The following is a 22,319-nucleotide window of genomic DNA, read 5'->3' as shown; positions in this document are numbered from 1 at the left end:
TGGCCTGTGAAGGGTCCTGCTTCTGTCCTCAGCCTCTCATGGGGTGGGCTTGGGGAGGAGCTGTGGTCTGGAGAGAGCGGCAGATGGAGCACAACATGCCTGCATTTGTTTCCTAGGGCTGCCGTAACAAAGTGCCACAAAATGGGTAGCTTAGAATCACAGAAATTTGTTGTCTCACAGTTCCAAAGACCAGAAGTTGGAAATAAAGATGTTGGCAGTGTTCCCGACTACATGTTCTTAGGCTCCCACGAAACAGAAGTTGATACAAGGCCAAGTAAGTTTCCCAGACAAGGCTTTATTAAGTCTTATGCCCCTAAAGGCTGGGCAGAAAAGAGACGTATTAAGTCTTATGCCCTAAAGGTTGGCCAGGAGGAAGGATTCTTGGCTGGCTCCCCAAGGGGAGTGCGTTGTGGTGTCCTGAGGGTGACATGCATACTTTATGAGTTAGGTGAGTGTCATTACACCTATGGGGTGGAGTGAAGGGTGCTCAGATGCAGTAAAGAATCATGCTAACACATACATTGCGTGATCAGAAAATAGCTGAAAAGCCCATACCTGGGTGGGGACTTTAGTATTATAATGAGGCCAGGGGTAAGGATTGGTCATTCTCCTGGCCTCGTGCACAACAGGGTGATGGAGTCAACTCCCTTGAGTAAGACTTATGGCGAGATGCTGCTTATCTTAGTTTATTTCAGAAGGTTGGCAGGGTCTGGCCAGCGAGTATGGCACCTGGAGGGTGGTGCTGCAAGGTCTGGTGGTCAGCGGGCATGTATGGAACAACACGTTAGTTGGGGTGGGCCGAGTCCCATTTCTACTCTGTCTCAGCAGGGCCGTGCTCCCTCTGAAGGCACTAGGAAAGTATCCATTTCGGGCCTCTCTTCAGCTTCTGTTAGTTTCTTGGCTTGTGACAGCAAAACTCCATTTTTTTTTAAGATGGCGTCTTGGTCTGTCGCCCAGGCTGACGTGCAGTGGCGTGATCTCAGCTCTCTGTAACCTCTGCCTCCCCGGTTCAAGTGATTCTCCTGCCTCCACCTCCGAGGTAGCTGGGATTACAGGCGCCAGCCACCATGCCCAGCTAATTTTTGTATTTTTAGTAGATACAGGATTTTGTCATGTTGGCCAGGCTGGTGTCAAATTCCTGGCCTCAAGTGATTGCCTGCCTCCATTTCCCAAAGTGCTGAGATTACAGACATAAGCCACTGCACCTGGGCATGTCATCTGTATATCTTTTTTGGTGAGGTGTCTAACTTTTAATTGGGTTGTTTTTCTTTTTGTTGTTAGAATTTGTTTGTATATTTTGCGCACAAGTCTTTTTCAGGTTTGTTTTTTAAATATTTTCTCTCAGTCTGTGGCTTGTTTTTTGATTCTCTTAACTGGATATTTCACAGAGTAGTCATTTTAAATTTTAATAAAGTCCACATTATCATTTTTTATCTTATGAACTGGCTTTTGGTATTGTATCTAAAGACTCATCACCAATCCAAAGTCATATGGATTTTCTTCAATAACTTTTACAATTTTATATTTGAAAATTTAAGTCTACAGTCTATCTTGAATTATTTTTTAGGGGTGAGCTATGAAGTTTGTACCTACGTTCATTTTTTTCCCTATGGTTTCCGATTGTTCTGTCGCCATCTGTGGAACAGACTTTTCTTTCCCCACTGAATATTTTTGCCCCTTTGACAAAAGCAGTTGACTATATTTATTTGGGTCTTTTGGGTTCTGTATTCTATTCTGTTTATCTATTTGTCCATTCCTTCACCAATATCACTCTCTTCATTACTTTAGCTTTGTGGTAAAGCTAAAAGTAATGAGTGTACTGCTCCTAACAAAGAGTATCTGCATTTATTTATATATTTTTTATTCTTCCCAACCATGATCCAAGGTTTTCTGAATGCATATTTGGATGTATTTTGTTACATTTATACTTAATAAATTCAATTTTGGGGGTGCTATTATAAATGGTAATTTTTTTTAAATTTCAAGTTCAAATTATTCCTATATATTATTGCTGATAGAAAGTCAGGCAGTGCATGGTGGCTCACTCATGTAATCCTAGCACTTTGGGAGGCTGAGTTGGGAGGATCACTTGAGCTTGGGAGTTCTAGACCAGCCTGGGCAACATAGTGAGACCCACTCCCCCCAGTAAAAAATAAAATAAAATAATTAAAACAAATAAATAAAAGAAAATCAGGTGGGGCTTGGCACGGTGGTTCACACCTGTAATCCCAGTGCTTTGGGAGGCTGAGGTTGGAGAATCTCTTGAACCCGGGAGCTGGAAGCTGAACCCGGGAGCTGGAAGCTGAACCCAGGAACTGTGATTATGCCACTGTCCTCAAGCCTGGGTAACAGAACGAGACCCTGTCTCTAAAAAGAAAAGAAAGAAAATCAATTTAGTTTTGTCTACTGGCCATCTTCTTTTTCTTTCTTTCTTTCTTTTTTAATTTTTTGAGAAGGAGTCTCGCTCTGTCGCCAGGCTGGAGTGCAGTGGCACAATCTCAGCTCACTGCAACTTCCGCCTCCCGGGTTCAAGCGATTCTCCTGCCTCAGCCTCCAGAGTAGCTGGGATTACAGGCACGCGCCATCATGCCTGCTAATTTTTGTATTTTTAGTAGAGACGAGAGTTCACCACGTTGGCCAGGCTGGTCTCGAACGCCTGACCTCAAGTGATCCGCCCGCCTCAGACTCTCAAAGTGCTGGGATTACAGGCGTGAACTGGCCATCTTCTTTGATTACTATCTCAATGCGTTCCCGTCAAGGCACGGGATGGTGGTCTCCAGTTCAGTTGAAATTTCCAAAATCTCGGCCTGGAAAAATCCAGACGCTGATTTTCAGAGATTCTCCAGAGCTGCCGCGAGGGGGCGCCCGGCCCTGCCAAACCCGGAGGGCGGCGCGCGCGCGAACCGTGTCCGAACCGCACGGCGGCGGCGTGGGGCGTCCACTGTGAGGACGGAGCTTCCTCTCAGCACCCACCCCGGAGGGGCCGGGGCTTCGGGACACCTGGGGCCACGTCCGCTGTGAGGACAGGGAGACGCTCCGGGACACCTGGGGCCGCCGGGGAGAAAGTGAGAAAAAGGCTTCCTGCCGCCGCTGTGAGTGCAGCGGAGCGAGCGCGGCGCGTTTCCCGTCTGGCCATTTGTACCCAGACTTCACTTTGTACGAGCGTCCCTTCATGGAGGCTTGGGCGGCTCACCCCCAGCACAGGACAAGATGCCGGTTACCGATGCGATTTTGTTTCTGGGGAGAGACCCTGGTCCCCGGAGAGGAGGAGGAACGTGGAGAGGCCGTTGTGCCGTCGGTCGGGAGGCTGGGGACTGGCAGGGGCCACAGCCTGAGGCCGAGGAAACAGACGCCCCCTGATCGGTGCTCGTGTTTTTTTTTTTTTTTTTTTTTGAGACGGAGTTTCGCTTCGGTTTCCCAGGCTGGAGTGCAATGGCACGATCTCGGCTCACTGCAACCTCCGCCTCCCGGGTTCAAGCGATTCTCCCGCCTCAGCCTCCCGAGTAGCTGGAATTACAGGGACCCGCCATCACGCCCAGCTAATTTTTTCTATTTTTAGTTGAGACGGGTTTCACTATGTTGGCCAGGCTGGTCTCGAACTCCTGACCCCAGGAAATCCACCCGCCTTAGCCTCCCAAAGTGTTGGGATTACAGGCATGAGCCATCTCGCCTGGCCAGTGCTTGGTGTTTTAAGGCTTATTTGTTAACGTAGTGGAAACAACGCAGGAAAATGGAAAAGTAGCACATTATGCTCACTGCACTGCACTCCAGTCTGGGCGACAGGGCGAGACCCTTTTTAAGAGTAAAAAGAAAATAAAGAAAATAAATTGAGTTTTGTCTACCGGCCATCTTCTTTTTGTCTTTTTTTTTTTTTTTTTGAGACAGAGTCTTGCTCTGTCACCCAGGCTGGAGTGCAGTGGTGCGATCTTGGCTCACTGCAACCTCCGCCTCCCGGGTTTAAGCAATTCTCCTGCCTCAGCCTCCGGAGTAGCTACGATTACAGGCGCCCACCACCACATCTGGCTAATTTTTGTATTTTTAGTAGGGATGGGGTGTCCTCATGTGGGCCAGGCTGGTCTCGAACTCCTGACCTCAGGTGATCCACCCACCTCTGCCTCCCAAAGTGGTGGGGTTACAGGCGTGAGCCACCACGTCCAGCCTTTTTTCGGTTTGTTTTGTTTTAAGAGAGAAGGTCTTGCTCTGTCACCCAGGCTGGAGTGCAGTGGTGTGATCACAGCTCACTGCAGCCTCGGTGTCCTGGGCTCCAGCAATCCTCCGGCCTCAGCCTCCCAAGTAGTTAGGAGTATAGGCACCAGCCACCATGCACAGCTAATTTAAAAAAAAAAATTTGGCTGGGCGCGGTGGCTCACGCCTGTAATCCCAGGTGTGAATGACTTTGGGAGGCCTTGGTGGGGGGATCACCTGAGGACAGGAGTTCGAGACCAGCCTGGTCAACATGGCAAAACCCCGTCTCTACTAAAAATACAAAAATTAGCCATGCATGGTGGCGCGCACCTGTAATCCCAGCTACTCGGGAGGCTGAGGCAGGAGAATTGTTTGAACCCTGGAGGTGGAGGTTGCAGTGAGCCAAGATCGCGCCATTGCACTCCAGCCTGGGCAATAAGAGTGAAACTCCGTCTCAAAAAAAAAAAAAAAAAAAAAAAAATTGGCACAGACAGTAGGATCTTTACGTTGCTCAGGTTTGTCTTGAACTCCTGGGCTCAAGTGATCCTTACACCTCAGCCTCCCACAGTACTGGGATTACAGGCGTGAGCCACTGCACCTAGCCTGGAGTCTCTTCTTAACTTCCTTCTCCCTTCCCCTTCTCCTTCCCCTTACTTTCTTCCTTCTTTTTTCCTTCTTTCTATTTTTTTCTTTTTCTTTCTTTCTTTTTTTTTTTTTTTTTTGATACTGAGTCTCGCTCTGTCGCCAGGCTGGAGTGCAGTGGCGCGATCTCTGCTCACTGCAACCTCCACCTCCCGGGTTCAAGGGATTCTCCTGCCTCAGCCTCCAGAGTAGCTGGGACTACAGGCGTGTGCCAACACGCCCAGATAATTTTTGTATTTTTAGTAGAGATGGGATTTTACCATGTTGGCCAGAATGGTCTCGATTTCCTGACCTCGAGTGATCCGCCCGACTCGGCCTCCCAAAGTACTGGGATTACAGGCGTGAACTGGTCATCTTCTTCGATTGCTATCTCCATGCGTTCCGGTCAAGGGACGGGATGGTGGTCTCCAGTTCAGTTGAAATTTCCAAAATCAGGGCCTGGAAAAAATCAGACGCTGATTTCCAGAGATTCCCCAGAGCTGTCGCGAGGGGGCGCCCGGCCCTGCCAAACCCGGAGGGCCGCGCGCGCGCGAACCGTGTCCGAACCGCACGGCGGCGTCCTGGGGGGTCCACTGTGAGGACGGGGGGTCCACTGTGAGGACGGGGGGTCCACCGTGAGGACGGAGCTTCCTCTCCTCAGCACCCACCCAGGAGGGGCCGGGGCTTGGGACACCTGGGGCCGCGTCCGCTGTGAGGACAGGGAGACGCTGCTGCAGCTCCGGGACACCGAGGCAAAAGTGAGGAAAAGGCTTCCTGCCCGCGCTGCGAGTGCAGCGGGGCGAGCGCGGCCGCGTTTCCCGTCGGGCTGTTTGTATGTGGACTTCACTTTGTGCGAGCGTCCCTTCATGGTGGCTTGGGCGGGTCACCCCCAGCGCAAGGCCAAGATGCCGGTTAGGAATGCGAGTTTGTTTCTGGGGAGAGACCCTGGTACCGGGAGAGGAGGAGGAAAGCGGAGACGCCGTCGGGCTGTCGGGATGTTGGGGACTGGCAGGCGCCACAGCCTGAGGTCGAGGAAACGGGCGCCCCCGGATCAGCGCTCATTTTGTGTTTTGTTTTGTTTTGGAGACGGACTTTCGCTCTTGTTTCCCAGGTTGGAGTGCAATGGCGCGATCTCGGCTCACTGCAACCTCCGCCTCCTGGGTTCAAGCGATTCTCCTGCCTCAGCCTCTCGAGTAGCTGGGATTACAGGCATGCGCCAGCACGCCCGGCTAATTTTGTATTTTTAGTAGAGACGGGGTTTCTCCATGTTGGTCAGGCTGGTCTTGAACTCCCAACCTCATCAGGTGATTCACCCACCTCGGCCTCCCAAAGTGCTGGGATTACAGGCGTGAGCCACCTGGCCTGGTCAGTGCTCCGTGTTTTCAGACTCATTTGTTAACATAGTAGAAACAACACAGGAAAATGGAAAAGTAGGCACATTATCATGCTCACGCCACTGCACTCAAGCCCTGGGCAACAGAGCGAGACCTTGTCTCAAAAAACAAAAACAAATGAAAACAAAACCAAAAACACCATTGTGTGCGTCTAATGGAAGTGAACTCGTCAACAACAGTTTTTCTTTTGTTGAGAAAGTCTGTTTAATTTGCAGTGTATTTGTAATGGTACAGAAAATGACGTCTGTTTTATAAACATTCTCATCCTAAGTTAGTTGAAATGTATTAACTATATCAAGCTTTGACATGATACCATAAAATTAATTGAAGAAAGTCACTAATCTTTTTTTTTTTCCCTTGGCCTTCAGCATTTTAAATAAAATCAGATTTCGTTAAGGTTATTTAATACTGAGCTGTAAACCCGTATGGCCCTGCGGTGTCTTTTCTTATTTTTTCTTTTTGCTTTTTTTTTTTTTTTTTTGAGATGGAGTGTCGCTCTGTCTCCCAGGCTGGAGTGCAGTGGCGTGAGCTCAGCTCGCTGTAACCTCCACCTCCCAGGTTGAAGCAATGCTCTGTCTCAGCCTCCCCAAGAACTGGGATTACAGGCGCCTGCCACAATGCCCTGCTAATTTTTTTGTATTTTTAGTAGAGATGGGGTTTCACCATCTTGGCCAGGCTGGTCTTGAACTTCTGACCTCGTGGCCACCCGCCTTGGCCTCTCAAAGTGTTGGGATTACATGCGTGAGCCACTGAGCCAAGCCTCTTTTCTTTTTTTGACATGGAGTCTCACTTTGTCGCCCAGGCTGGACTGCAGTGGCGCGATCTCAGCTCACTGCAACCTCCACCTCCTGGGTTCAAGCACTTCTCCTGCATCAGCCTCCTGAGTAGCTGGGATTCCAGGCCTGCATCACCACGCCGGGCTAATTTTGTATTTTTAATAGAGGTGGGGTTTCACCATGTTGGCCAGGCTGGTCTCGAACTCCTGACCTCAAGTGATCCACCCACCTCGGCCTCCCATAGTGCTGGGATTGCAGGCAGGCCTGAGCCACCACGCCTGGCTGCTTTTTTTTTTTTTTTTAATTAAAAAAATTTTTTTGTTTGTTTTTTGAGACAGAGTTTAGCTCCTGTTGCCCAGGCTAAAGTGCAATGTCCCGATCTTGGCTCACTGCAACCTCTGCCTCCTGGGTTCAAGCAATTCTCCTACCTCAGCCTCCTGAGCAGCTGGGAATACAGGTGTGCACCAGAATGCCTGGCTAATTTTGTATTTTTAATAGAGATGGGGTTTCACCATTTTGGTCAGGCTTATCTCTAATTCCTGACCTCAAGTGATCCACCTGCCTCTGCCTCCCAAATTATTGGGATTATAGGTGTGAGCCACTGTACCCAGCCTTTACATTTTTATTGATTGATTTTTTTTTTTTAAGAGAGAAGGTCTTGCTCTATCACCCAGGCTGGAGTGCGGTGGTGTGATCATGGCTTACTGCAGCCTTGACCTCCTGGGCTCCAGCAATCCTCCTGCCTCAGCCTCCCAAGTAGCTTGGACTATAGGCACCAGCCACCATGCACTGCTAATTTAAGCAGGATCTTTATGTCCCTCAGGTTTGTCTTTAACTCCTGGGCTCAAGTGATCCTTACATGTCAGCCTCCCAAAGTGCTGGGATTACAGGTGTGAGCCACTGCACCCAGCCTAAGGTCTCCCCACTTTTTTTTTGAGACAGATTTTCACTTTTTCTTCTCAGGCTGGAGTGCAATGGTGAGATCTCGGCTCACTGCAACCTCTGACTCCTGGGTTCACATGATTCTCCTGCCTCAGCCTCCCAAGTAGCTGGGATTACAGGCATGCGGCTAATTTTGTATTTTTAGTAGAGATGGGGTTTCACCATATTGGTCAGGCTTGTCTCGAACTCCTGACCTCAGGTGATCCCTCACCTCGGCCTCCCCAAAGTGCTGGGGATTACAGGTGTGAGCTACTGCGCCCAGCCCTGCGGTATTTTTCTTTTTTCTTTTTCTTTTTTTTTGAGATGCAGTCTCACTCAGTTGCCCAGGCTAGGGTGTAGTGGCACGATCTCCGCTCGCTGCAACCTCCCTTTCCTGGACTCAAGCGATTCTCCTGCCTCAGCCTCCCAAGTAGCTGGGACTACAAGTGTGTGCCATGATGCCTGGGTAATTTTTTGTGTGTTTTTAGTAGAGGCGGGGTTTCACCATGCTGGCAAGGCTGGTCTCAAACTCCTTACCTCAAGTGATCTGCCCGCCTTGTCCTCCCAAAGTGTTGGGATTACAGGCATGAGCCACCACGCCCTGCCCCTGGGGTCCTTTTTTGATGGGGATCTCTAAGGGTCACTCCAAGCTTTTCTATGCTAATCGGTGTATTTAAATTTTCCTTATTTTAGAGTCCATTTTGTTGTGTATTTTTATTAGGAAATCACCCATTTTCTCTCTGTTTCCAGTTTGATTCAATATGTTTCTCCTTTTTTTTATTTTTTATTTTTTGAGACGGGGTTCTGCTCTGTCTCCCATGCTGGAGTGCAGTGGCGCAGTGGAGATCTCGGCTGACTGCAGCCTCCACCTCCTGTGTTCAAGTAATTCGTCCTCAGCCTCTTGAGTAGCTGGGATTACAGGTCTGCGCCACCATGCCTGGCTGATTATTGTATTTTTAGTAGAGACTGGGTTTTGCCATGTTGGCCATGCCGTTCTCAAACTCCTGACCTCAGCTGATCCGCCCGCCTCGGCCTCCCAAAGTACTGTGATTACAGGCATGAGCCAATAAGTTTCTCTTATTTGACTTCTAATTTATATCTTTCTAGTTTTTTACAGAATTCTTAATTCTATTTATTTCTGCGGTTTGTTTCCATCAATAATATTTTAAAAAATATCTGGGGACTGTTGTGGGGTGGGGAGAGTGGGGAGGGATAGCATTAGGAGATATACCTAATGCTCAATGACGAGTTAATGGGTGCAGCACACCAGCATGGCACATGTATACATATGTAACTAACCTGCACATTGTGCACATGTACCCTAAAACTTAAAGTATAATAATAAAAAAAATAAAAAAACAAAAACAAAACAAAACAACAACAACAAAATATACTTATTAGTTTATCTTGTTTTCAATTGAGGGAATTGTTATATTAAACAATTTCTTATGACCCAATGACAAGCTTTAATTATTTTAAAATAATTCCTGTCTAACACAACACCTTTTGCAGGAACCAGCTGTCAGTGGTATTGTTACTGACCAGAGTTTCTTGGCTCTCCAGTAATAGAAATTGACATGAGGATGAGCAAGTTTCCCAGACAAAGCTTTTATTTAGGTGTTTTGTTTAGCTTGGTTAAATTTATTTCACAAAGCTTTCGTTTTTGTGTTTTATATTCAAACACAAAGGAGGCAGCAGAAGAGAGAGAATTCTGTCTGGCTCCCTGAAGAGTCAGGAGGAGAGTGTTTTTAGGGTCTGGCCCGATTGCCCAGGCTGGAGTCCTCTGGCACCATCTCGGCTCACTGCATCCTCCCGGGCTCGAGCCATCCTCCCGCTTCAGCCTCCCCAGTAGCTGGGACTACAGGTGTATACAACCGTGCTCAGCTAATTTTTGTATTTTTTTTGTAGAGATGAGGTTTTGCCATGTTGCCCAGGCTGGCCTCAGATCCCCCCAAAGTGCTGGGATTACAAGCATGAGCCACCATGCCCGGCCCAGTGTGTTCTTATTAAATTTCAGTAATTAGTTACGCCATTTGCCTTTCGTTCAACACTGAGATTTCGTTTTTCTTTCCTAATTATCTCATACATGGACTTTGGTTCCATTAAACTATTATTTCCTTGATCTACAAATTGCGGGTGATTCTTAGAGATTATCTAAGAAATAATTACATTTTGTTTTTAGAAAAACCACATTATTAACTTTACTACTGTTAGATACCACACCTGCTGTGACTTTAGGGATTTTGCTGGACAGTGTCTTAGACAATTTGCTAAGGGTGGACATTGGGTGAATGGCTTGAGGGAACATGCATTAAATACTCGAGACACCCAGGAGGCTGCTGTGTCCCTGTAAGAGAGAGCATACAAGACTGCAGGCCACTGGGGTTGAATGCCTTGGAAAGGGCAGCATGCAGGAAGGAGCACACAGTGTGTGGAGGTCATGGTCAGTCCTGTGGTCCTTGTTCTAAGGCCAGTGGGAATCCATTGTAAAAGTTGAATCAGAGAGTGACATTGTGAACCTTGGGTTTGAAAATGAGAATTTTGCCATTTTACAGTTGAGATCACCAGTTGCGGGCAGGGGGATTGTGCTCTTTCTGGTGGGTTGCACTGAGGAGAGCAAGCATTGGGCTGAGGTGTTTCCCCTGGGAACGCAGGGTCTGCATCTGCTCAGGAGGAAACACGGGGCAGACCCAGCTGGGAGTTATCTGCCAACGTTGTGAAACTGAGGGACAGCTCAGGAACATTCCAGAAAAAGGAAAACCCAATCCAAATGGAAAGAGACCCTTTCTCCCACTTGGGGCAGGCAGTGAAGTGAAATGGGTCCCTGGATTGGATTGTCAGGTAGAGACCTTGTATTTCCTGATTTGGGAGTTACGTGGTGGTTAGCTGGGAGGCCGTCTTTGCTTTGGTAAAATACACTGGAGTGTTTTGTGTGGAGTTGCTGTAACTGCTGAGGAATCTAAGAGAAGGGATAAGTTACACTTTACACTGCTATTGCAAGATTCCTAGAAGTATGAAATTACTGTAAAGTAAATTGAAAACAACCACAGTAATACCATGTCAGTAAAGCAGAGATGGCATCAAACTTCACTACAGAGGCCAAACCCAGTCCAAATTCAGGTCAGTGGAAGCTGTGTACCAAGCACCCCGGTGAGAGTCTGGATGCTGTATCAGTATTGCGGCTGCAATATCAGTATTGAGGGTGTCACATGAGTCTTAGGGGTGTCATAGCAGTATTGTGGGCGTCATATCAGTATTTCAGGTGTCATATCTGTATTGTGTGCATCATATCAGTATTGCAGGTGTCCCATCAGTCTTATGAGTGTCATATCAGCCTTACAGGTGTCATATCAGTATTATGGGTGTCATATGAGTCTTAGGAGTGTCATGAATCTTGTGGGCTTCACATCAGTCTTATGGGTGTCACAGCAGTCTTGTGGGTGTCATATCAGTATTACGATATGCCGTGATATGTTATACCAGTATGATATCTCTTCTGAAAACACCTTCACAGACATACCCACACATAGTGCTTTAACAGCTCTCTGTGTATTCCTTAATCTGGTAAAGTTGACACCTAAAATTAACCATCACAGTATTTATGCCTGATTCATGGCTAAAATTTCAGAATTTTTAAAAATTTTAGAATGAAAGCCGGGCACCATAGCCAGACACCGTCCCTACATAAATATTAAAAAGTTAACTGGTTGTACTTGCACGCATATGTAGTTCCAGTTACTCTAGAGGCTGAGGTGGGAGGATCTTTTGAGCCCAGGAGATTCATGCTGAAGAGCTAGGATTGTGGCACTGCATTCCAGCCTGCGTGACAGTGTGAGACTCTCTCAAAAAACAATCAACAGTAATAATATTATTTGGAATAAATTTAACCAAGGTACAAGACTTGTACATGAGGCTGAGCATGGTGGCTCACGCCTGTAATCCCAGCACTTTTGGAGTCCAAGGCAGGTGGATCCATGAGGTCAGGAGATCAATACCATCCTGGCTAACACGGTGAAACCCCGTCTGTACTAAAAATACAAAACATTAGCCAGGGATCGTGGCATGCGCATGTAATCCTAGCTACTTGGGAGGCTGAGGCAGGAGAATTGCTTGAACCCAGGAGGCAGGGGTTGCAGTGAGCCAAGATCTTGCCACTGTACTCCACCCTGGGTGACAGAGTGAGACCCCATCTCTGGAAAAAACAAAAAACAACAACAAAATAACTTGTACATGGAAAATTTCAAAACATTGCTGAAGTAAATTCAAGAAAGCTTACATAAATTTAAAGACACCTCATATTCACGAACTGGAAGACTTAATAATTCTTAAGGTGGCAGTACTACACAAAGCCATCTACAGATTCTTTGTGATTCCTGTTACAATCCCAACGTCCTTTTGGCAGAAATCAACAGGCTGATCCTGTCATTTATACGAAATATCAAGGGATGCAGAATAGCCAAAATAGTGTCAAAAAAAAAAAAACAACAAAAAAACAAAACAACTCAGAGGCTCACATTTCCAAATTTCAAATCCTACTATAAAGCAACAGTAATAAAATCAACATGATTCTGGTATAATCCATTGAATAGATCAATGGAACTGAATTTTGAGTTCAGAAATAAACCCATATTTCTATGAGCAATTGCTTTATTTTTATTTTTTTGAGACAGGATCTCACTCTGTCTCCCAGGCTGGAGTACTGTGGCACAATCATGGCTCACTGCAACCTCTGTCTCCTGGGCTCAAGTGATCCTCCCGCCTCAGCCTCCCAAGTAGCTGGGGCTACAGGTATGCACCAGCACATCTGGCTAATTTTTTGATTTTTTTATACAGGTAGGGTCTTGCTGTCCTGCCCAAGTTGGCCTCAAACTCCTGTTCTCAAGTGATACTCCTCTCTTGGCCTCCCAAAGCATTGGGATTACAGGTGTCAGCTACCATGTCCAGCCTGTTGATTTTTAAAAATGTAATTTCTTTTTCTTTCTTTTTCAAGGCATGGTTTTGCCCTGTTGGCCAGGTTGGAGTGCAGTGGTGTGAACGTGGCTTATTGCAGCCTAAACCTCCTGGGCTCAAGCAATCTTCCCTCCTCTGTCACCCGAGTAACTAGGACTACAGATATGCATCGTCACACCTAGCTAATTTTTAAGTTATTTGTAGAGAGAGTGTTTTCCTGTGTTGGCCGGACTGGCCTGAAACTCCTGGGTTCAAAAGATCTTCCCACCTCAGCATCTCAAAGTGCTGGTATTACAGGTGTGGGCCACCACCCCCAGCCTGGAATGGTTTTCATAATTACATTCTCATGTTGTTTGTTGCTGGTGTCTGGAAATACAGCAGATTACTGTGTATTGACATTTTGTGTTGTAGTTTACTAGTTTTAATAATATTTTGGGGGTTTGTCATGATATTTCTGTACATAAGATAGCTCCTGTGATCTGTGAGTAGCCATTTGTACTGTTTCCTAACACATATAAGTTCTCTTTACTTCTTTTTCTCTCCTATTTGTTGTGGATGGAACTTCCCGTACAGTGTTGAATACAGTGATGAAAATGAGCATTGGTGCCTTGGTCCTGATCTTAGGAGTAAAGCACTGGGCCCTGACAATGGAGATTGTGCTAAAGTCCGATTGTGGTGTTTAGAAAATTCCTATCCCTGGTTTGTTGGGTGTTTTTATGATGAAATGGTGTTGACTTTGTTTAAAGTACTTCCTGCATCTATTGAAATTAGCATGTGGGTTTCTTCTTTATTCTGTTTATTTGATGTTCCTTTGCAGTGATGGCTTTAGTATGCCAAACCAGCTTGATTTTCTGAGAAAAGGATGTAGTGATCATGTTGTGCAATCCTCAAAATACGTGCTAGTATGAAATTACAATTATTTTCTTGGGCATTATTATTATTATTATTTTTAATTTTTTTGAGACAGAGTCTCACTCTTGTCGCCCATGCTGGAGTGCAGTGGCACGATCTCGGCTCACTGCAACCTCTGGCTCCCAGGTTCAAGCAATTCTCCTGCCTCAGCCACCTGAGTAGCTAGGATTACAGGCTCCCGCCACCACGCCTGGCTAATTTTTGTATTTTTAGTAGAGACAGGGTTTCACCATGTTGGCAAGACTGGTCTCAAACTCCTGACCTCAGGTGATCTGTCTGCCTTGGCCTCCCAAAGTGCTGGGATTTCAGGTGTGAGCCACCACACCCAGCCTCTTGAGCATTATTAATTGAATAATTATACTAGACATTGATCTGTACCTTTCTGTTCTTGTGATGTCAAGTCCTAGTGTGGTTTAGTATTAAATTGCGGATGGGATTGGGTATGGGTTGGTTTACTATTTAGCGTATTAAGTGTTAGAAGTTTAGGGGAAAAAAATTAGCAGAAAGAAAACATACCTGAGGAATTGCGGGGAAGAGTATGATGAGGTCTGGGTCAAAGTCAGGGTTTAGGGTTAGCAAGAGAGTGCCTGTAGCCTTTGTCAACAGTAAATATCAGTCCTTTTCTTGAGACAGGTTCTTGCTCTGTTGCCCAGGGAGGAGTGCAGTGGCACAGTCTTGGCTTATAGCAACCTCCAACTCCTGGGTTCAAATGATTTTTAGGCCTCAGCCTTCCAAGTAGCTGGGAACACAGGTGCGTGCCAACATGCCCAACTATTTTTTTTTTTTTTTTTTTTTTTTAGTGGAGATGGGGGTTTCCTCATGTTGACCAGGCTGGTCTCAAGCTTCTGGCCTCAAGTGATCCACTCACTTCTGCCTCCCAAAGTGCTGTGATTATAGGCAGGAGCCACCACGCCAGCCTGCACACAGGCAGGCAAAGATATTTTAATATTCTTTTAATTGGCACTTCCTTCAGTATTAGTCAGTGTAAGCAACTTTTCATTTATTTCTTAGTTGAGAGTTCTTTGGGTCACAAATCAGATGACATTTCAGTATGTATAGGGGTATGCATATGTGAGTGTGTTGATGTGTATGTGTGAGAGGAAGTGCAAACATAAGTATGACAGAATGAATATGCACACCTCTGTTCTTGTGTGCCTAGTGTGTTAGGGTTTGCTTAGAGTTTGATTTAGGGTTGGGGTAATGGTTAGGTTTAAGTTATGGAGAAGGGTTAGATGGTTAGTGTTAGGGTTAAGGGTTAGGGTGAGGGTGAGGGTGAGGGTTAGGGTTAGGGGTTAGTGTTGGGGTTGGGGTTAGGGTTTTAGAGTTAGGGTTAGGGGTTAAGGGTTAGGGTTAAGGGTTAGGGTTGGGGTCAGTGGTTAGGGGTCATGGTTAAGGGTTAAGGGTTGGGGTTGGGGGTTAGGGTTAGGGTAAGGGTTAGGGCTAAGGCTAGGACTAGGGTTAGGGTTTGGGGTTAGGGTTAGGGTTAGGGCTAGGGCTAGGGCTTTGAATAAACTTATATGGTAGCCAAGTTGTGGTTACAGTGGGCCTTGGGTGAGACCAAGTTCTATGGCTACTTCATGTGTGAACCAGCACAGTCTCAGTGGTGGTGGCCTCAGGGGTGCTTATGTTACCCCAACTCCAGCTCCACATGCCTCAGCAGAGAAAGAGAGACTCTGCTGGTTTCAGAGAAAGAAAGGGAAGAGAACAAGATCTCTACTTGAAAAATTAAGAGAATTTTTCTTGATGTTAATCCAAGGCCACCAAAGCAGTACCTTTACGTGTTTGCTACTGTGTATTGGGCTTGGGACCTAAGTCTCTTTGAACACTTGGAGAGTGTTCCCAAAAATAATGGGCACCAACAAGCCCAGACTGTGAAGACTACAATAAAGACTGACCTCTTCAATGCCCAGATATAGATGAACATCTATAAGTATCAAGGCCATCCAGGAAAACATGACCTCACCAAACAAGCTAAATAAGGCACCAGGGGCAAATCCTGGAAAAATAGAGATATGTGACCTTTCATACAGGAAATCCAAAATAGCTGGTTGAGGTAATTCGAAGAAATTCAATATAACACAGAGAAGGAATTCAAAATTCTATCAGATAAATTTAAAGATAAGATTTAAATAAAAAGAATAAAGCAGAAATTCTGAAGTTAAAATGCAATTATCATACTGAAGAATGCATCAGAGTTACTTAAAAAAATTGATCAAGGAGAAGATAGATTTAGTGAACTTGAAGTCAGACTATTTGAAAAGACAAAGTCAGAGGAGACAAAAAAGAATAAAGAATAAAGCATGCCTACAGAATCTAAAAAATAGCCTCAAAATAGGAATCTAAGAGTTATTGGCCTTAAAGAGGTGGTAGAAAAAGAGATAAGAGTTAAACATTTATTGGCCCAGTGCAGTGGCTCACGCCTGTAATCCCAGCACTTTGGGAGGCCGAGGCGGGTGGATCACAAGGTCAGGAGATCAAGACCATCCTGGCTAACACGGTGAAACCCCATCTCTACTAAAAATACAAAAAGAAATTAGCTGGGCGCGGTGGTGGGTACCTGTAGTCCCAGCTCCTTGGGAGGCTGAGGCAGGAGAATGGCGTGAACCCAGGAGGCGGAGCTTGCAGTGAGCCAAGATTGTGCCATTGCACTCCAGCCTGGGCTACAGAGTGAGACTCCATCAAAAAAAAAAATTAAACATTTATTTAAAGAAATAATATTAGATAATATTAAACAATTCCCCAACATTCGATATCAACATTCAAGTACAAGAAAGTTACAGAACATCAAGCAGATTTAACCCAAAGAAGACCACCTCAAGGCACTTAACTGAACTCCCAAAGGTTAAGGATAAAGAAATGATTCTAAAAGCAGCAAGAGAAGAGACACAAATAACATTCAGTGGAACTCCAATACATCTGACAGCAGACTTTTCAGGGGAAAATTTACAGGCTGAGAGAGTGGCATGACATATTAGAAAAGCTGAAGAAAAAAAAGACTTTTACTTTAGAATAATGTATTTGGCAAAAAGTCCTTTAAACTTGACAGAGAAATGAGAACTTTTTCCGACAAACAAAAACTGAGGTATTTCATTAACACCAGACCTGTCCTACAAGAAATGCTAAAGGGAGTTCTTAGCCTGAAAGAAAAAAAGTGAATGAGCAATAAGAAGTCATCTGAAGGTACAGAACTCAACTAGTAATAGCACATGGAAAAACACAGAATATTATAAGATGGTAATTATGGTGTGCAAAAATCTCAAATAGAAAGAGTAAACAATAAACCAGTAAAAAATAACTACAACATATTTCCAAGACATAGACAGTAAAATAGGGAAGGAAGAGAAACAACAAAAAGTTTAAAAGAATGGCAATGGAGTTAAAGTGTAGAGTTTTTATTAGTTGCTTTGCTTGTTTCTTTGTTTATGCAATCAATGTTAAATTGTCCACAGTCTAAAATGATGTGTTATAAGATATTATATTCAAGCCTCATGATAATTTTAAATCAAAAAGCATACCACAGATGTACAAAAAGTAAAAAGCAATAAATTAGATAATATTAAAAGATAAATCACCTTCACTAAAAGGAAGACAGGAAGAAAGAAAAGAACGATGAGAGGACAAAAGTCAATCAGAAAACAAGTAACAAAAGGGCAGGAGTAAGTGCTTATCAATAATAACATTGAATGTACATGAATGAAATACTCCAATCAAAAGACAAATAGTGGATGAATGGATAGAGAAGCAAGACAATAATCTGTGACCTACAAAAAAAAAATACTTTACCTATAAAGATACATTTAGACTGAAAATAAAACGATGGAAAAAGTTATTCCATGCCAATAGAAACCAAAAAAGAACAGAAATAGCTTTACTTATACCAGACAAAAATAGATTTCAACAAAAGACTGTAGGAAGATATGAAGAAGGTCATTATATAATAATAAAGAGATCAATTCTTGAAGAGGATATAATTGGAAATATATATGCACCCAACACTAAAGCACCTAGATAAATGAAGCAAATACTATAAGAGCTAAAGAAAGAGACATCAATACAATAATGGCTGAACACTTCGACACCCTACTTTAGTCATTGGATAGACCTTCCAGACAGAAAATCAACAAAGAAACATCAGACTTAATCTGCACTGTATAACAAATGAACCTAATAGATATTTACAGAAAATTTCATCCAACAGCTGCAGAATACACATTCTTCTCTGCACATGGGTTATTTTCAAGGATAGACCATATGTTAAGTAGCAAGTCTAAAAACATTAAAAAAATTTGAAGTAATTTCAAGCATTTTCTCTGACCACAATGGAACAAACTAGAAATCGATTAAAAAATGAATTTCAGAAACTATACAAACACTTGGACATTAAACAATATGCTCTTGAATGATCAGTAGGTCAATAAAAATGTTAAAAAGAAAATGGAAAAATTTCTTGAAACAAATAATAGAAACATAGCATAGCAAAACCTGTGGAATATGGTAAAAGAGGTACTATTATGAAAGGAAAATTTCTTTATTTATTTTTCTTTTATTATTATACTTTAAGTTTTAGGGTACATGTGCACATTGTGTAGGTTAGTTACATATGTATACATGTGCCATGCTGGTGCGCTGCACCCACTAACTCGTCATCTAGCATTAGGTATATCTCCCAGTGCTATCCCTCCCCCCTCCCCCCACCCCACAACAGTCCCCAGAGTGTGATGTTCCCCTTCCTGGTCCATGTGATCTCATTGTTCAATTCCCACCTATGAGTGAGAATATGCGGTGTTTGGTTTTTTGTTCTTGCGATAGTTTACTGAGAATGATGATTTCCAGTTTCATCCATGTCCCTATAAAGTACATGAACTCATCATTTTTTATGGCTGCATAGTATTCCATGGTGTATATGTGCCACATTTTCTTAATCCAGTCTATCATTGTTGGACATTTGGGTTGGTTCCAAGTCTTTGCTATTGTGAATAGTGCCGCAATAAACATACGTGTGCATATGTCTTTACAGCAGCATGATTTACAGTCCTTTGGGTATATACCCAGTAATGGGATGGCTGGGTCAAATGGTATTTCTAGTTCTAGATCCCTGAGGAATCACCACACTGACTTCCACAATGGTTGAACTAGTTGACAGTCCCACCAACAGTGTAAAAGTGTTCCTATTTCTCCACATCCTCTCCAGCACCTGTTGTTTCCTGACTTTTTAATGATTGCCATTCTAACTGGTGTGAGATGTATCTCATTGTGGTTTTGATTTGCATTTCTCTGATGGCCAGTGATGATGAGCATTTTTTCATGTGTTTTTTGGCTGCATAAATGTCTTCTTTTGAGAAGTGTCTGTTCATGTCCTTTGCCCACTTTTTGATGGAGTTGTTTGTTTTTTTCTTGTAAATTTGTTTGAGTTCATTGTAGATTCTGGATATTAGCCCTTTGTCAGATGAGTAGGTTGCAAAAATTTTCTCCCATTTTGTAGGTTGCCTGTTCACTCTGATGGTAGTTTCTTTTGCTGTGCAAAATTTATAACTGTAAGTGCCTATATAAAAATCAGAAAAGCTGCAAATAAATAACCTAACAATACATCTTAATTCACTAGAATAAAAAGGCCAAACCAAACTCAAAATTAGAAGAAAAGAATAATAAAAATTAGAGCAGAAATAAAATGAAGAAAACAGTGCAAAAGATCAATGAAACAAAAAGTTGATTTTTTGAACAGTAAAACAATTGACAAATATTTAGACAGGCTAGCTAAAAAACAAAGATACAAATTAATAAAATCAAAGGTGAAAAAGGAGACTTTACAAGTAACGTTTCAGAAAATCAAAAGATCATTAGTGGCTACTATAAGTAATTGTATGCCAACAAATTAGAAAACCTAGAGGAAATTAATTCTTAGACACACACAACTTACCAAGAGTGAACTAGGAAAAAATCCAAAACCTGAACAGACCAATAACAAGTAACAAAATTAAAGCCATAATAAAAAAATGTCTATAGGACCAGACTGAAAAATAGAGAAGGAAAGAACATTTCCAAACTCATTCTTTGAGGCTGGTATTACAGTGATATTAAAACAAGACAAAGACACATTTAAAAAGCAAACTGCAGGCCCATATTTGAGAATATTGATGCAAAAATTTGCAAAAAACCTAGTAAATGCAATTAAACAATACATAAATAGGTAATTCATAATGACCAAGGGGAATTTATCCCAGAGATACAAGGATGGTTCAACATGCAAATCAGTCAATGTGATATATCATATAAACAGAATGAAGGGGCCAGGAGCAGTGGCTCACGCCTGTAATCCCAGCACTTTTGGAAGCCTAGGTAGGTGGATCACCTGAGTTCAGGAGTTCAAAACCAGCCTGGCCAACGTGGCAAAACCCCATATCTACTAAAAATACAAAAATTAGCCGGGTGCAGTGGTGGGCACCTGTAATCCCAGCTACTTGGAAGGCTGAGGCAGGAGAATCGCTTGAACCCGGGAGGCAGAGGTTGCAGTGAGCTGAGACCATGCCATTGCACTCCAGCCTGGGTGACAGAGGAAGACTTCATCTCAAAAAAAAGAAGGACAAAATCCATGTAATCATTTCCATTATGCTAAAAAAGTATTTGATAAAATTTAATATTCTTTAATAATAAACCCTTTGAAAACTGGGTATGGAATGAACATATCTGAACATAATAAAAGTCATATATGACAGACCCACAGCTAGTATCATACCAAGTGGGGAAAAACTAAAAGCCTTTCCTCTAAACTCTGGAAGATGACAAGAATATCCACTTTTACCACTGTTATTCAACATAATTCTGAAAGTCCTGTCTGGAGCAATCAGACAAGAGAAAGCAATAATAAAAGGCACCCCAGTTGGAAAAGAAGTCAAATTATTGTTTTTGCCAGTGATATAATCTTATATTTGGAAAAACATAAAGACTCCTCTGATAGGGTTTGAATGTGCGTCCCCTCCCAAATCTCATATTTAAATGTAATTCTCCATGTTGGAGGTGGGCCAGGTGATTTAACCATTGGGGTGGATTACTCATAAATGGCTTAGCACCATCCCACTTGGTACTATCTTCATGATAGTGAGTGAGTTCCCATAAGACCTGGTTATTTAAAAGTGTGTAACTCGCCCCTCTGTTTTCTGCTCCTGCTTTTTGCCCTGTGATGTGCAAGATTCTGCTTCAACTTTTGCCATGACTGTAAACTTCCAGAGGCCTTCCCAGAAGTGCATGCCAGTGCTGTGTCTTCTCTACAGCCTGTAGAATCATGAGCCACTTAAACCTCCTTTTTAAAAAATAAATTACCCAGTCTCAGGTATTTATAGTGATGGGGAAAAAGCTTAATACAGAAAATTGGCACAAAGGAGTGGAAAATTGTTATAAGAATACCTGAAAATGTGGAATCAGCTTTGTAATTGGGTAAACAGGCAGAGGTTGGAAGAGTTTGTAGCACTCAGAAGAAGACAGAAAAATGAGGGAAAGTTGAGATTTTCTTAATTTTGAATGGCTGTGACCAAAATGCTGATAGTGATCTGGACAGTGAAGGCTGAGCTGAGGAGGTCTCAGATGAAAATTAGAAAATTAGGACCGAAGCAAAGGTCATTCATGTTGTCTTAGCAAAGTGGTTGGCTGAATTTTTGTCATGCCCTAGGGATATATAAAAGTTTGAATTTGAAAGTGATGATTTAGGGTTTCTGTTGGAAAAATGTCTAAGCACCAAAGCGTTCAAGATGTGGCCTGGCTGCTTCTAACAACCTATGCTCACATGTTGGAGCAAAAAAAAGTAAGTTGTAATTTATTTTACTTGCAAGGGAAGCATAGGGTAAAAGCTTAAAAACTTTGCAGCCTAGTCATGTGGCAGAAAAATAAAAAGCTTTTACAAGAGAGGAACTTGAGCAGGCTGTGGAGCAATCACTTGTTAGAGATATTTGTATAACTTAAAAAAAAAGCAAGTGTTGATAGCCAAGACAATGGGAAAGAGGAATTGAAGGCATTTTAGAAATCTAAAAGGCAGCCCCCCATCACAGACCCTGAGGCCTAAAAGAAGAGAATAGTTTCTGGGATCAGGCCCAGGAACTGCTGCCTTGGGTAGCCTTAGAACATGGCTCCCTGCATCCTGGCCACTGCTTCAGCTCCAGGTGTAGCACAAATTGGCCCAGTTACAACTCCAGTCACTGCTTCAGAGGGTGCAAGCCATAAGCCTTTGTAGCTTTCATATGGTGTTAGGCCTGTGAGTGTACAAAATGCAAGAGTTGAGACTTGGGAGCCTCCACCTTTACTTCAAATAATGTATAAAAAAGCCAGGGTGTGCAGGCAGAAGCATGCTGCAGGGGTGGAGCCCTTATGAAGAACCTCTACTAAAACAATGCAGAGAAGAAATGTAGAGTTACAGTCCCCATGTGGGCTGCCTACTGGGGCATGGCCTAGTAGACCTGTGAGGAGAGGATCACTGTCCTCCAGACCCCAGAATGGTAGATCTAGCTACAGCTTGCACTTTGCACCTGGAAAAGCCAGAAGCACACAAAACCAGCCAGAGGCACACAATACC

General features: G+C 43.7%; 1 protein-coding gene across 2 annotated transcripts in view, besides 2 other annotated features; it reads left to right on the top strand.

Annotated features, from left to right (window-relative positions):
- Window positions 2,861-2,920: a silencer, noted in NCBI's record as "silent region_2057". NCBI's record gives its function as "represses an Ori minimal core promoter by ATAC-STARR-seq in GM12878 lymphoblastoid cells {active_cell/tissue: GM12878}" and the evidence as "EXISTENCE:reporter gene assay evidence [ECO:0000049][PMID:35858748]".
- Window positions 2,912-22,319, top strand: part of TUBB8 (tubulin beta 8 class VIII) — a 30,167-nt gene continuing 10,759 nt past the window's right edge. Inside the window, exon 1 of one of the 2 annotated variants that reach the window (NM_001389618.1) lies at window positions 2,912-3,092. The gene's annotated coding sequence lies outside the window, so the exon portion shown is untranslated. Of the gene's footprint in view, window positions 3,093-5,302; window positions 5,565-22,319 lie in introns of those variants that run through there. The other variant, NM_001389619.1, reaches the window with a different exon arrangement.
- Window positions 5,273-5,322: an enhancer, noted in NCBI's record as "active region_2890". NCBI's record gives its function as "activates an Ori minimal core promoter by ATAC-STARR-seq in GM12878 lymphoblastoid cells {active_cell/tissue: GM12878}" and the evidence as "EXISTENCE:reporter gene assay evidence [ECO:0000049][PMID:35858748]".

This window comes from Homo sapiens, chromosome 10, assembly GCF_000001405.40.
Source record: "Homo sapiens chromosome 10, GRCh38.p14 Primary Assembly".
Lineage (NCBI taxonomy): Eukaryota > Metazoa > Chordata > Mammalia > Primates > Hominidae > Homo > Homo sapiens.
This window is presented reverse-complemented; position numbering and strand designations above follow the sequence as displayed.